General features: G+C 51.1%; 1 protein-coding gene and 1 long non-coding RNA gene across 5 annotated transcripts in view, besides 5 other annotated features; both read left to right on the forward strand.

Annotated features, from left to right (window-relative positions):
• The window catches only part of C14orf132 (chromosome 14 open reading frame 132), a 54,610-nt gene extending 44,979 nt beyond the window's left edge, over positions 1–9,631 (forward strand). For 3 of the 4 annotated variants that reach the window (NM_001289139.2, NM_001282463.2, NM_001252507.3), the window contains one exon: positions 2,171–9,631. In NM_001289139.2, the coding sequence (NP_001276068.1) occupies positions 2,171–2,395 (225 nt within the window). In that variant the 3' untranslated portion in view covers positions 2,396–9,631. The remainder of the gene's footprint in view (positions 1–2,170) is intronic. The other variant, NM_001282464.2, reaches the window with a different exon arrangement.
• Positions 1,684–2,883: an enhancer, noted in NCBI's record as "CDK7 strongly-dependent group 2 enhancer chr14:96552361-96553560 (GRCh37/hg19 assembly coordinates)". NCBI's record gives its function as "activates an origin of replication core promoter dependent on BRD2, BRD4, P300/CBP, MED14 and CDK7 cofactors, with strong dependence on CDK7, by STARR-seq in HCT116 cells {active_cell/tissue: HCT116}" and the evidence as "EXISTENCE:reporter gene assay evidence [ECO:0000049][PMID:35650434]".
• Positions 7,833–8,002: an enhancer, noted in NCBI's record as "experimental_38841 CRE fragment used in MPRA reporter constructs". NCBI's record gives its function as "activates a minimal promoter by MPRAs in K562 erythroleukemia cells, with activity observed for both the introgressed and non-introgressed 14:96558595 variant alleles {active_cell/tissue: K562}" and the evidence as "EXISTENCE:reporter gene assay evidence [ECO:0000049][PMID:34662402]".
• Positions 10,169–10,669: an enhancer, noted in NCBI's record as "H3K4me1 hESC enhancer chr14:96560846-96561346 (GRCh37/hg19 assembly coordinates)". NCBI's record gives its function as "activates a minimal SCP1, AML or CMV promoter by ChIP-STARR-seq in naive H9 embryonic stem cells {active_cell/tissue: H9 hESC(naive)}" and the evidence as "EXISTENCE:reporter gene assay evidence [ECO:0000049][PMID:30033119]".
• Positions 10,670–11,170: an enhancer, noted in NCBI's record as "H3K4me1 hESC enhancer chr14:96561347-96561847 (GRCh37/hg19 assembly coordinates)". NCBI's record gives its function as "activates a minimal SCP1, AML or CMV promoter by ChIP-STARR-seq in naive H9 embryonic stem cells {active_cell/tissue: H9 hESC(naive)}" and the evidence as "EXISTENCE:reporter gene assay evidence [ECO:0000049][PMID:30033119]".
• Positions 11,482–14,693, forward strand: LOC124903374 (uncharacterized). The gene is made up of 2 exons (XR_007064321.1): positions 11,482–13,381; positions 14,301–14,693. It is a non-coding gene; the product is annotated as an uncharacterized LOC124903374 (long non-coding RNA).
• Positions 12,620–13,121: an enhancer, noted in NCBI's record as "H3K4me1 hESC enhancer chr14:96563297-96563798 (GRCh37/hg19 assembly coordinates)". NCBI's record gives its function as "activates a minimal SCP1, AML or CMV promoter by ChIP-STARR-seq in primed H9 embryonic stem cells {active_cell/tissue: H9 hESC(primed)}" and the evidence as "EXISTENCE:reporter gene assay evidence [ECO:0000049][PMID:30033119]".
• Positions 14,694–15,026: the final 333 nt, after the last annotated feature.

The raw sequence follows: 15,026 nt of genomic DNA on the forward strand, positions 1-15,026 counted from the left end.
AAGCACAGCTTCTCACACTGAGCCTGCTTTCCAAGAGGCCACCAGCAAATGTTGGTGGCTTTACCTTAGCCTGGAGGCCTTCTGTTGTGGACAGGTTGGGCAAAGGCACCGATGATGTCGCCTGGGGAAGGGGAAGCCTCCCATTAGGCTGGCATGTGTCTGATGCACCCACACCCCATCTGACCTGCAATTCTTTTATTTACACTTATAATTGTATTTTTAGCATAAAAAACTGTTGTAATATTCTTGTTTGCATTGGTCATTATATTTAATTGAAATATAGTAATAGAATATGTTATACATATAAGAAGTACTCATATAAAAATGTACCCCACGAGGGGTGAACACAGCATGGTAACCTGCAGCCCCCACTCAGAAATTGCACCTGGCCTGCCCTGAGCCCCATAGCAGTCCTTTCCAGTCACTGCACTCTCTAGGTCAATAACTGCCCTATTCCATCCCCTCAAGGACAGCACCATGTTAGGAATATAGGTGCCGAGTGCCTCCTGGCAGGAGTCCATCAGAAGCAGATGCTCAAGGGCCACCTGGTGACCTGGTAATGGTCATCCTTTAAGAGGAGGCCACTGAGACTCAAGGCAGGCCAGAGAGCTTCTGAGCAGCAGCTGCCCAGGCACGTGTGTGCCTCTCATGTTCCAGGAGCCTGACCCTGAAGCCCATGGGGCTGCATGCAGAGCCGGGAGTGCCTGGGCTCACAGTCAGACACTCGTGGCACTCAACCCTGACACCACCACAGATTAGTGCTATGGCCTTGACCTCTGCTTATCCACCTGTAAAATGGGGTTGCAGTATTAGCCTCCACCAGGATTGTTGAGTGATTGAGAGTATTTTAATGTCTCTAGCACAGCCCCTGACCATAGCAGGAGCTCCACACAGAATACTGTCTCATGCGGTGCTCGGTAACTGTGCATCCGATGCAGGCCTCACTGTGTCATGTTCATTCATTCAGGTTCCCTTCAAAAGAAACATTGATTATGGGCCAAATAGGTGTCAGTGCCAGCCCAGGAATGCACATGCATATTCTGCCTCTGGAGAGGGCCTGGGAAGCCTGGACATGGGCCTCCTGGGCTGGGGCAGGAAGGGGCCTCCTCTTCACTGCTGTGTCCGGGATCACCCCCTCCCTTGGAGCACCCCACCTCCCACCTGAAGTCTGAGCAGCAGAGAACCTTTAAAAACAGAAATAGGAAGTTCTGATTCATGAATGCAAACATTCTGGCATCCCGTGTGCAGTGATGTGCGGCGTGGGCGGTGGGAATTAGGGAACCTCTTCTAGCGTATTTGTTCCTATCCACCGGAAGGTATACAGTGTTCATACTCATTGACTCAGAAATTGTGTGTCGGGGAGTCTGCCCTAATAGATAACAATGTGTGTACCATGATGCATGTACATGCTAATGGATGTACAAGGATGTTGATCAGTGCATCATTTATCATAGGAAAAGTGGAAATTGCTAAATCTCCAACACTAGGGGAGTGGTTAAACTGTGGCTTATGTTCATGATAGAATAATACACAATTGTTAAAATGGAATTTTGATGGCCATTTTGAAACAGGGATTAAAAAACACGTTTAAATGTGTTTTCTCTCTGTCTCTGTCTCTCTCTCTCACTCTGTCTCTCTCTCTCTCTGTCACACACACACACACACACACACACAGAGGAAAAAAAGATTGGAAAGAAAAACCATCAAAATGTTAGCACTGATTATGTGGTGGGATCATGATTCTCATTTTTTATCCTGTTTTATATTTTCTTAGGGTTCTATGCTAAGCATATATTATTTTTAAAATTAGAAGAGGAATGAAGGCATTTTACAACCCATATCGTTATGGAGGAGCCTGGCATGGGGGGAGGGGAATGGCTGGAGGGGTTGCTGTGAGTCCTGGTGAGTCACCAGCTAGCTGTTGGGTGAGTTCCTTGATGCTTTCATAGTAGCGTGGGCATGAGAATGTCTGCCTCAAAAGGCTGCTGTGAACACTGATTTTTATAAATTACCATCAATGATAAAACCACAAAAGCAAAGCCCCATTTTGCAGGTGCAGTAGAGATCGTAGCTTCATGTGGGGTTGTTTGACCAGACCACTTCCCTTTTGCAGGGTACATCTGCCCAAGCCCCCATGGCCCTGGATAATTCTCTCTCTCCTTCTTTGCAGCTGCCCATGATGGGGGGAGCTTTCATGGACTCGCCCAACGAGGACTTCAGCACCGAGTACTCCCTGTTTAACTCCTCTGCCAATGTCCACGCGGCTGCCAATGGCCAGGGCCAGCCGGAAGATCCTCCTCGGTCCTCCAACGACGCCGTCTTGCTATGGATTGCCATCATAGCTACGCTGGGGAACATCGTGGTGGTGGGCGTGGTGTATGCCTTCACCTTCTGAGGACGGCACACCCTGCACCACCATGGGGTGAGGCTTGGCACGTAGCTCTGACTTGCTGTCGGCCTTTGGCTTCTCCTGTGTTCTAGAACCAGGAGTTTTGACCAGGGGCGGCGGCCGTCCTTCTGGAATTTCTCCCCAGCAGCCCTGATTTCAAATATCCCATGTTGTGGTCAAGCTGAGTCAGAAGACATGGAAGTATGGGCCTCCTGCCCCTAGAGGCATGACGGGGCAAGGCCTTCAGAGGGCAGATTGGGGATCCTTGAAACTACATTCCAGGAACATGGGACCAGATGAGACAGCTAGTTAAGTTTAAAACATAGACATGATTTGATGATCGCTTGCTGGTGGTAAATAATCACTCGTGTGTCTTGTTTTTATGCAAACTTATCGAACCTAGGGCGTGGGGTGCTGGGGCAAGAGCAGCCCTCAGAACTTCAGTGTTCCTGACCCAATTCTGGTTTCACATTCAGTCCCTTGGCCATCTAGTAGGGCCATTGGATGTTCCTAGTTTGACTTTGAAATGGCACCTTTGCCACCAGACACCTGGTCCCTTCCAAGACCCAAGTGCATTGGGAGACCCAGGGATGGGGGGTTACTGGTAATAGGTGGGGTTTCTGGGGGTGTTGTTGGTGGTTTTTATCTCCTGGTCGGACTTTCTCTTCTTTTTAAGAAGAGGAGAGGATGTCTTTAAGAGCTAGATGTGCCAGGCAGTGGACTCTTCAGGCCACCCACGTGAGAATGCTGTTTCTTCTCTGAGGAATCGTGGAATTTTAAAGATGAACAAGATTCACATCCACTGAATTATTCAACGGATGGGTCAGAAAGGGGGGTGATTTGCCTGTGGTCACCAGGCAGGTTTGTGGAGGAGTCGGAACAGAAAGATGTGTCCTCACTCTCAGCTCACTGAGCTCTCTGCCCCAACTAAGCACTTCCCTGAGGAGGTTGCTGAGAAGCTGCCCTCAGGAGAATGTCCAGGCATCTTGAAGGTGGGTGCGAGATTGGCAGGCTGCTCAGATACCCGTCCTTTACATTCAGTGTGGATACCGTGCATTCTCCTGAAGCTGTGAAAGTGCTTCTGCCCAAGCCACTTCCTTAAATTCTGAAATATCAGCATCTGGGGTCCTGGCAAGCAAGGAAGCTTCCAAGTAAAAACCAGAGAGAAGGGCACACTTTTCTTTCTTCATTAGGAAATCTTATTGCACAGGAACCACCCCCACCCCCACCCCCCACACCTTCCCAAGGCAGCATCCCAGTGCAGATAGAGTGGGAAAGGTCCCAGAAGGGGGCTCACTCACCTCTAGGCCCAGAGAGGCTTTCTCCTCACTTTATACACTGCAAAAACAGAAGAATTGTGTCAATAACACCCTCTGTAGTGGAGAAACTTAAAAAGCTGGTTAGGAAGCTCTCGTGTATATTTAGAGACAATTACAAGAAAGCTGGACTTGCCGCTGTGGTCTCAGGAGAAATGAGTGTTCTTGATGACAGGCAAAGGGACATCTTAGTTGTCCAGAAGCGGCACTCTTCCCTGGAAGCCGCCATGTTAATAGGATTACTAGCCTGGCTCCAGACAGTGCCTGCTCATGGCTGCCAGTTCTTACCGATCACATCTGTCACTGCCACCGTATATCATCTGCCAGTGCATCAGCTTAAGGGGAGGTCACGAGTGCAAAAGAACCTGACCCTTGACAATGAGGGAGAAGGGACATGGACCACCTGTCTGGAATTCCTGGAATCACTGGCAGGGTGGAGGCTGGGCTGGGGAGTTAGCCGCGGTGTGCGTGAATGGCTCTGTCTCCAGCAAGTCTCTCTCCATCAAACCCCAGGTCTGCCCCATAAGCAAGATCTTTAACAGATGGATGTCTCCATGAGAAAACCCAAGGCGAGAAGCCCAGAGCCATGGCGGGGTTGCTTGACGTCCTCATGGAGTCACTCTGCCCCACATGCTCAAATCTTCCCTCTGGCCCCACATCCCTAGGAGGGCCTGACCCCTGTAAAGATACAGGAGGCAGCTCCCTGGCCTCCAAATGGCCCATGGAGATGGCAGTCGGGAGACAGGGTTCTGTGTTTGCTGCGGTGAAGGGAGGAGAAGGCAGGAGGAAAAAGGATGGCTTCTAGCCCTGAAGAGGACTCCAGCATCCCAGGCACCGGGTGCTTCTGGCTGCAGTTTTCCCTATGGAGGCCCCTCAGCCTCCAGCCCTAACATAAATGTCGGTTAAATTCAGTTTTCAAGCCTCTCTCCCTTTTCAGTGTCAGAGCAGTAGATGGTCCAGGGCATTGGAGGCCTCGACCACTCTGCATTGCAGATTACAGTGACTTCCTCGGGGTTGCCCCATCTTGGTCTCCTGTGGTTTCTTCATCAGCTTTTTTTTTACCAGCATCTCTCAAATAACAATGAAGATAGATATGCCCATTAGTGTCTGATTAAGGAGCAAAGGCTGGATTTCTGGCCACAGCGAGCTGCACTCTCCCTCCTGCCTCAGCCGGGGTCCGTCTTAGCAGTTTGGAAAGGGGAAAAAGATGCCGGTCCTCACTGCTTAAGTTTTGTGTCCAGGTGCCACTAGACTTGCATGCACACTAACTCCTTACAATCACCACACAGCATCATCGCCCCAGTGCACAGATGAGGAACCAGAGGCTCAGAGGAGTGAAGTTGCCTTCCTGAGGTCACACAGCATGAAAGTGATGAGCTAGGATTTGAATCTGGGAAGTTGGGCTCTAGAGCCAGACTGTACTGCCTTCTGCCACACTGTACTGCCTTCTGTGACTGGGTGGCACCTCCAGGGCACATTTACACAAGGCCCTGAATCTGCAGAGGCTGTTTCTCAAGATGCCCGTCATGGTGTGGCCTGGGCCAGCTCTGGCTTCCACAGGTCCCTGACTGTCCTCAGAGTGGAACATGCTCAACCTCCCGCCCACTGCTCTCTCTCTGCCCAGATTTCAGGGGTGCCGGTCCCCAAGGCCTGCCCCCTTCTTTAAGACTGAACTCAAGTCTCCTTGGAAGGCCCCGGTGAAGCTCCCAGAGACTGGTTTTCTTGGGATGCAGGCAGAAGGGGACCCTCCCTGGCCAACACCCAGGAGCCCAGCAGAAGCACCCACACGTAGAAAGAGGCTCACTACAGCCAGAAGTGCAGAGTCAGAGTCCTGGGACCATCTTGTTCTGCAAGGTGACCCCAGGCTCCCCAGGACAGGGGAGAGGGATCGTCCTCATTCAGACTCTAGCTGGGGCCTCTGTACTGGCTTCTCCCTGGGTGGGGTTGCCTGTTACATAGCTGTGCCTCAGAGAAAGGGTCCTGCATTTTCTGGAATGTTCTCTGTGCTTACCCCTCTGTGTGCCCCTCCATTGCTCCTCTACAAGCAATTAGGTGATTCAAAAGAGCAACTTAGGCTGGGTGCAGTGACTCACACCCGTAATCCCGGCACTTTGGGAGGCCGAGGCGGGCAGGGACAGGAGTTCAAGACCAGCCTGGCCAACATGGTGAAACCCTGTCTCTACAAAAAATACAAAAATTAACCAGACATTGTGGCATGTGCCTGTAATCCCAGCTACTCAGGAGGCTGACACAGGAGAATTGCTTGAACCAGGAGGCGGAGGCTGCAGTGAGCTGAGATTGTGCCACTGCACTCCAGCCTGGGCAACAGAACGAGACTCTGTCTCAAAAAAAAAAAAAAAGAAAAGAAAAAAAAAAAGAGCAACTTACTGCTTTGTGAGGTTGTGAGTGGCCACCACTGAAGGTCTTTGAGAAGAGGCCAGACGCCGCTGTAGCCAGGCCTGTCTTAAGAGGACTTGTGCTTCCAGGGACCCAGGCAGGATGATGGCGCAGCTCTTCCTACTCCAAGCCAATGCTGTCCTTCCCCTTTCCCATGAAATCAAGGTCAAGAGGCAAATAAGACTCCCTGCTCCACTCTACCCCCCAGAGAGAAATGATTCTCGCTCCTTTCAGATCCCCCAGGATCTGAGGGAGAAAGGATGGGAGGAGGGGCAGCAGCATTTCGCTGGAAAGGCAGCAGATGCTTTTCCAGCCCCGGTTCAGCTGGAAGGCTTGGAGGCTGGCCAGACCACTCTGGCGTCTCCTGAAGTGGGTCCCTGGAGACCGAAGAGGCTCAGTGGAGTCTGTCTGTTGTCAGCACTGCTGCCTGATCCCTGCAAGACAAATGGCACTTTCCTTCTTCAGAAGCATCATCTGCCTTCATTATTAGCAGTAATATTATTCCCAGTTATTATTCTTACCGGTGCCAGTTTTGCACATCTTTTTGTTGCTCTATTTGTGTCTCATTTACTTCTCAAATTGCCCCTGGGGGCAGGAATGAGGATGCAGAGAGATGCACGTTAATTACTGTCGCATTTTTCTGTGGAGAAAACTGAGGCCAGGGCTGAACGCTCACAGCTAAGGAGCTGTGATTCAGACCCAGTTCTGTCAGCTCTAGAGGCACCCTGCATCATGCCCACCAGGGTGATCCCCCTGGGATGGACCATCTCGGGATATGAGGCCTCGGAGGCTGGGGTTGAGATTTGGTCCTGAAGAGCTTATAGCCAGATTGCCACATTCAAGTGTAAGTCCAGGAAAGGGGCAGGCGGCAGTGCACAGGGATTTATCAGTTCCAGAACCTCACAGTGATAAGAGGCTTTAGAGAGCATCTAATCGAGACCTTTAATTTTTCGGGGAGAGCAGCTGAGGCCGTGTGGAAAATTAGTGGAGAGCTGACAAGTGTCTGGGCTCCTGGCCCAGGGGTCCGTGGTCCAGCACGTTGTGCGTTCAGTGGGAAGCAAAGGGCTTGCCCGGGATTACCTGCCCCAGCCCCGAGGTGGGTTGTGCTCCCTGCAGCTGCCATCGGCCCGCTTTGCTTCGTCCTGGCAGATGCCCAGTGATTGTCCCCGAGCAAGTGCCAGGGTTGGGCTGAGCTGCTATGACAGGGAGGCCCAGGGAGTTCTGCTCAGGGAGCCAAAGGGAACAGCCAGATCCTGAATGTTCTATGTTCACCTGCCCCAGCCCCACCCACCCTGGCCCACTCCACAGGCCCCTGACCATGGTCACTCACGGAGAGGGATGGAGGAGAAGGTGGTTGAACTGAGTACTGAGAACCCAGAGGACAGAGCCCACAGCTTCCAAGCAGGAAAAGGGACCTCTCTGAAAAATCTGGATAACCAGAATTATCACAGCACCTTCTCATTCCCAGCGCGTCCTTCTGAGCTCAGACCTTGAGCATTTACTGGGTTTCTTTTTGAGGAAGAGGGAAAGTGACAAAGGACAAAACAATGCAAATCTTCATGACTGAAGACGATCAAAGACTCCCTGGAGCGAGAAAACAGTTACTGCCAGAAGCAGAATGGAAGAGCCAAAAAGTACACAAAATGGACGCCATAAATTCTGAAATAAAAGTGTATGATGTGTTCTGAGTCACTGTAGAAGTCATGCATTTATTATCAAGATAGAAAAGAGCAGAGAATGACGTGGACATTGGTCCTCGGAGAGGCTGCGTAGGTGGTGCGGTCCCCGGGGGATTCTGGATGCTGGTCTTTTGACCGTGGCGGCAGCCTCGCGCCTGCCCGGATGGCTCCATCCAGACATTTGGCAAGGCTGTCATCTGCTCTTGGGTCCTTTTTCAAGCTGATTTCCTGCCTCCCCAAGAGGAGGTTTGAGCCCCATTCTGCCTTGGAAATAAATCCTGACAGATGTGCACAGCATATTTGCAGGGAATTTGCAGGCCTCGATTATTGGGGGAATCAGAGCCCATTCCACACCGAGCCCCATCCACGTGGCTGAGCAACACCCCTGTGTCCCCTGTATCTGTCTCACTGGCTGTCTTTCTCCCAGTTTCTTAAAGAACCACACCATTACTGCGTTTGCCGTTCGAAGCGTTGTCCCAACAATGCAGATGGTTCTGACAAGGGCTCTATATGCTGGCAGAAGGGAGCTTCCAACCTTTTAACTTGAGGAAAATGAATCTCTGAGAGGCTTGAGAGTGTTGCCAGGTGGAGCTTTTCAGGAGACAGGGGTCTTGAGCCCAGGACACCTAACTATCGAGTTTTCACTAGGAGACTTAGTGGTGGCTTTCATGAGGCCAGTCGTTCTCAAGGAAGGGCTGGGGGCCATCAGCAATGTCTGGAGACATTTTTGATTCTCACAGCTTGGTGGGGACTGCTATTGGTATCTCATGGGTGGAGGCCAGGGATGCCACCGAACATCCTACAATGCACAGGGCAGCCCCCCACAAATAAGAATTATCCAGCCCCAAAATGCCAATAGTGCCGAGGTCAGGGGACCCTGTGCTGGCCATCCTATCTCTGATTCTGAAACTATGCATGCTTTCCACTTTTCCCCATTTGTGAGTCATTGAGTAAATTAAAGCTCTTCTGAGCAGCAGCAGTGATCATGGTCACTGCCCTGCGTTCAAATAATGCGAGCTGAGGACAGTGATCTGCAACTCCCAGCATGTCATGTGGTCTCTTAGAAATCCATGTGACTGTTTCCACCATCTTGGGCATTTGTGGGGACCCCCAGACTGGAGGGAGAAAGCCCTACAAAGTGGATGGGAGTGTGGGGCTGAACTTTTCCCTACCCTTAACTTTGTGTCTCTGGGACCTCCAGGGACCTGGCCCCTCACCAATGCATATGAAGAGTATGCTTGGGGAAGAGCTTAGGAATGGGGTGGGCATGGGAGTGCTGGGTAGCAGCCTTTGAGCAAATCTGCATCTTCTCTTATTTCTGACCTTTTTCCACGTGCCCAGTCCTATTTCTGCCAGTTGAAGGCATACTAATATTCTTTATACTATTTAATCTTTTGCAGAAACCTTACTATTATAACTTGCTACTCTCCAGATACCAATTCTTCATGCCGAGAGCATCGGAAATGTTTTTGTGTCTTACTGATGTTTTCATGATCAACTTGTAAATGTAAGCAGTTGACTTCATAAAAGGTATTTTAACTATTCTTGGAGTCCTTTGCTACCCAAGCACCTGGTTTCACCATGCGATCACTGACTTCTCTACAGTGAAGACTCTTTCTTAATAAAGGATTTCGCTGTGCTCTTTTGATTAAAAATATCTAACCTTAAAAGACGTAAAAATGTATCTGTGAAATCTCACTTTGTTAGCGTTGCTGCTGTTGTCATTTTCTATTATGATAACTGAAAAGAGAAAAGAAGAAAACATGAACTCCTCTGTGTCTGGTTCTCATCTGTGCTTTATGCAAAGGAGATGATCTACTCAGCTTTAAATGGCTCAGCCCCAGCGTCACCTCCATTCTGATGCTTTTCCTGCCCCACCGAGGCAGGACAGGTCCCCTCCTCCCTATCCCCTCCTGATACCACTCTATCATCACACCTGTAGCAAATCAAATCACGGAAGCTACATTCAGTTTTCCCAACTATCTGAGCCATCTAAGAGCAAACTTATCTTATTCAATGTGTTATCCCCACCACCCAGCACAGTGCCTGGCTCCTAGCAAACATCCGATATTCTGTGAATGAGTGAATGATACCTAAATGACCAGCCCGGTACATTTCAACACTATGAGGAACATGGACCATATCATTTTCCTTATTAGTTCACTGATAGTAACAAACATTCGTATAGCACTTATGAGGTGTTTGGCGCAGCTCTGAGCTCTTTCCACACATGTTAACTCACTTAATCTTCGTTTTACAAATGAGGAGTCTGAGGCATGCAGAGGTTTCTTGCCCAAGGCCATGTAACTGGTGAACCAGGACTGAAAACCTGATTCTGGGTCAGTCCTGGGCTTAGGCCTCAAGAAGCCTTTTTTTTGTTCTGTCTTTGGAACCCTGAGGATGCAAGCAAGGCTAGCCTGCTGGATGAGGAGAGACCAGAGCCTGGCCATTCCTAGCCTGCCAACAGTCCAACAGATAAGAGAGCCAAGGGAGGGGTTAGAACAAGAAGGTGTTCCATAATGTCAAGAGCTGCATGGACTTTGTAGGCAGCAACTAAAGAGCTCACTGAGGACTGCCTGGAGGAGGCAATACTTAACTTGGCATGGAATCTGCAGAAACAGGTGCACAGCAGAGGTTGCATGGGGTTCGGGCTAGAAGACCAGGCTGGATAAAGGTCAAGGCAGCAGTGGATCTGAGGCTGCTGAGGATGAAGGGATACAGCCAGCTGAAAGGGGCCTTGAATGTCAGGGTGGGCACCATGGTGGGCCATGGGCCACTGTTGGCCATAGGGAAGCAGGGCTGGTTCTCAAGTAGAGAGGCCTGCAGTTTCTGGAGCAGGGAGGCAGCAAGAGAACTGGGAAGGGGCTCTTGATTTTGCCCCTCGAACCTGCTCCTCTGGCATCTTCCCTCGCTCGCTGGATGGCACCTCCGCCCTGCACCAGTGTGGCTGATAAGGTGGGGTCTCCCTCCCAATCGTGTGCCTTGCAAAGATGGCAGAGGCTTTCACATGGCCCAAAGGACTGCGTTCTCAAGACTGATAAGCATCATTCTGAAATAGCAAAAATGGCTAGCAGCAAGGTTTTTCAAGAAAAGGAGGCATCCCTGGTCCAATGCTGCTGAATGTGTCTCAAGAAGCTACAGCCAGTCCAGCCCAGGCCACAGCGTGTCCCTCACTTCCTGCCCCACCCTCCTTGCTAACATTTAATTGATTTAATTGAATTTTTGGTTTTACCAATCAGGATTGTAAACACATTCATCCTCATGCAATGTGCCTATTCCTAGTCAACCCTGGTATTGTAAGGGTATGGGCAGCTTTCCTGGAGCAGAATGTCCATCTGTAATGTGGGGCCTGTAAAGAAATAAAGGTTCAAACAACCACAGCTCTTCACTCTGTCCAGGAGTTGGTTATGCTGTGGGTAGTGGGGTGCTCCTCTCCCCTAGGGATGAGCCGGTCCCCCATTAGCTGTGTACTCTTGGAGGGGTAATGCCTCCTCTGGCTCACCCCTTTGTCCTCCCCAGTGCCCAGCCCAGGGATAACAGTGTCAGGCTTTCCATAAATGAACTAATGAGGGGGACAGGGATGAACACCGCAGCCTCCCTTCGGTGCCTGCTGGAATGGCCAAGCTCTGCATCCGCTCCCCAGAGCTGCCTGAGCCTTTAGGGTTGGAGGAGGGGGAGAGGAAGGGGAGGGATGGGTTTCTAGGGCTGAGATGGGCCCCTTAGTGATTCTGGTGGGGCTGCCTGTTTATTTAGCTGCCTGCTACCCATGGTCTCCAAAGCCTGCCCTCGCTGGGGATTTTCCATCTGGCTTCCAGTGACTCAGGCTCCCGCAGGGTGCTGGCCTTACCAGGCAGCAGAGATGGCCCCACGATTAATATTGATACACGCCAGCTGCTGAGGCCTCTTTCGCAAGCAAGACAAATAATATTAACTACCACAGCAACCGGCCTCTGAGCCGCACTGCCCTTAGGGTTTGCAAGCACTTTCCATTCCAGCTTTCCATCCTCTGAACAGGTGATCTGTGTCGGCCCCTCCCATGCCCCAAGCACAACCAGGCAGGGCACCTACTCTCTGTCTTGTGTGGTGGGGGGTGGGGGGAGGCAAAGGATCAGATGAAGACAATGGGTTGTAACTGCATGATAGTGAGAAGCTGAAATGCGCCGGGGCTGAGGGGCGCCTCCTAACCAGCCTAGCACTCCAGGCCAGAACGCCAGGGAGACAAGCCTCCAGTTTTTAGAAAACAAAACTGAAGTTCATCGACTTGTTCATTCAATAAGCAATGACTGAGCACCTGCTATGAGCCAGGCACTGTTCTAGACACTCAGGGTGTATAGTGAACAAAACAAAGCCCCACCCTGCTGATGGCAAAGGGAAGGTAGACAAGAAGCCAATAAAGAAATAAAGATCAAGCCTTACTTTCTGAAAAACCAAAAGAAAGAAACAGTGAAAGAATGCGCTATGGAATGGAGACAAATGTTGGGGGAAACAGAAAGTAAGTGTGGGGCTGGAGCGGGAGGGGCATGAGGTTTTGGAGAGGATGATCAAGGCACTCCTATCCCCAGGGGAGAGGTGGTGCCAGTGTCTCAGGACAGGGTGACAGTTCAGAGAGGTGACCTGACAACGTGCCTGGCCACCCCAAGCTTCTGGATAGAGAGAGTTTTGTACTCAGTTCTTACAGAGTATTGTCTTGTCCCAGAAGTGCTTTTGGAAATAGCATCATTCATTCATTCATTCATTCATTCATCCATTCCTTCACTGAGTCTCTACTCTGAGCTGGACAGGCAAGGATACACCCTGGCTCCTGCCCCCACGGTACTCATGGTCCAGGCTCGAAGTCCCTGTGTCATGATCATGGTTGGGGCAGCAGGACCCAGTTCTCCCCTGAGATTAAGTCTCAGAAGACACCTGGTTAACCAGCCAAAGTCTGCATGAGGGTGACACTGGCTGGAGAGTGCCGCCCACAGGGAATGCTCAGGTGGTGCCTTATACCTCGTTGGAGCCTTCTGAGTGGGAAAGGCACCTCCCTGTGTGGCTCCTGCAGGTGCTGCTGGGGCCTAGCACCCTAGCACCTATCTCAAGAAGTCAGACATGGCTGCTGGGGCAGGTGCATGCTGGTCTTGGACTCTCAGCATCTGTTGTCACTCCTTTCGGTAAAGCATGCTATTTCCTCTTGGGGAGCCACAATCCGCAGTCTGTGTACTCGATCCCTCCTGGGCTTGGTAGCCTGAATGCCCCATGGTCACAATGATATGTGCAGGGTGTGTGCCTGGCTCTGGCCTGGGCAGTGGTGACCTTGCAACCCCCTGATCCCAGTGGCTGGGCCAGGAGTGATTACACAACCAGACAGATGCAGGCAGCACAGATGTCCTGACTTGTAAGCGAGCACTGGGAAGCAGTCTGCACGGGGGACCCTGTCTCTCTGCTGGAAGGAAAGCCAGGAGGATGTGCGCCTGTCTTGGCAGCTGCCATCTCACCGCTGTGAGAGAAGCTGCTGAGAGTGGAGGTGCAGCAAGTAGAGCCCAGAGATGGGAAGAAAGAGACTGGCTCCTGCTGGGTCTAACCGGACCCCTGTGGATCAAACCACATCTGATTCTCCTTATGTAAGCTGATCAATTCCCCGTCTACTTGAACCGGTTTGAGTTGGGTTTCTGCCCCTTGTCATAGAAGGGATGTTGGCGATACTCCTTCAGTGCACTCTGGCCTTCACCCCACATGGGGATGGCCACCCCCAGGTTGAGGAGCTCTAGGGGGCCGTCCTATTCATCCTCGGCCATCCTGGGCTCTCCTGCCTGGCTGCTGCCTCACTCTATCCCTGCTGTCACCCAGTTCCCTTTGTCCCTCGAAGCTTGAACTTTGAGTCCAGCCACAGGTTCAGCTTTTCTGGCTCGACACATTGTCCTTGGTTTTGGCCTTATCTGCTGGTTTCTGATGGCCTCAGATACTGTCCACCAATGAGGCTCAACACCTCGGACCTGACCCCAGAATTAGCCTGATCCTGCCTCCAAAGAATTACAATTTGTCAAACAAACTCCCTCCTCATTTTTGTTTCATGCCAGTAGAGTGGGGCGGGGGGCTGCCCCGGTACAGCCCTCTGTCATTACTGCTGCTCTGGGAAGCCTAACATCACCAACATTATGCATCCCACTTCGTAGTTTGCAGAAATCTTTCATGCAGTGGACTGAATATTTGTGTCACCCCCCGCAAAAAAATTCCTATGTTGAAATCCTAACCCCTAATGTGATGGTATTGGGAGGTGGGGAGGTCTTTGGGGGGCGATTAGATCATGAGGGTGGAGCCACATGAATGGAAAGTTCTCTCATCAAAGGGACCCCAGAGAGCTCTCTCGCCCCCATTCTGCCAGGTGAGGATGTAATAAGACGGCCCTCTGCAACCCGGAAGAACTCAACCTTGCTGGCACTTTGCTCTTGCACTTCCAGCCTCTAAAGCTGCAAGAAATAAATCTCTGTTGTTTCTCCAAGCTAAGACATCTCACATACATTTTCTAATTTGATCACACAGGAGCCCTGCAGTGCACTGCCCAGATGCCCTGGGAGGGCTGGTGCATTTTGGTGTGCCCCCCTCCCAGCAGCAGTGTGCCTTTGTCTCCAACTGCAACCCCTGCAGCCTGCCCTCTGGCTATGGGTCCAGCAGCTTTGCCCACACAGGAGCAGCCAGGAAGGCCAGGCAGTTTGCTCCCTTCCTCCTCCCACATGGTGGCACTGATGACAGGTGTCCCAGCTCCTTTGCCTCCAATGGGCTCTAACAACTTACACCCCGGAGCTCCCTGCAGGACCAAGCTGAGGCTGCCCCCAGCAGGACATTGCCTGAAACTGCTACCCTGGCTTTGCTTCCTGCAAACATCCCTGTTTCCCAGAAGCACTTCCTTAATAAATCACTTGCATTGAACCCTTATCTCAGGTCTGTTTCTGGGGAACACATTGAAAGAAATGGCCCTAACTCCCATGAGAGCTAGATATGTTCTTCTACATTTTACAGATCAGGAAGCTAATGCTCAGAGAGGTTAAGCAACCTGTCTAATATCACACAGCCAGTGAGTGACAGGGTAGGCTTCAAACTCAGTTCTTCTAGACCCCACAACCCAAGGCACTCCATCCTCCATTGATTAATTAGATGCCTGGGATTGCAATTAGCAATCAAGACTTCAGAAGCTGGACATTAACACCAGAGCCTTAGAGAGCTCTCTGCAGCCCAGAGTCATCGTAAACACTGGCCACAGCAGCCACA

The sequence above is a fragment of the Homo sapiens genome, chromosome 14 (assembly GCF_000001405.40).
Source record: "Homo sapiens chromosome 14, GRCh38.p14 Primary Assembly".
NCBI lineage: Eukaryota > Metazoa > Chordata > Mammalia > Primates > Hominidae > Homo > Homo sapiens.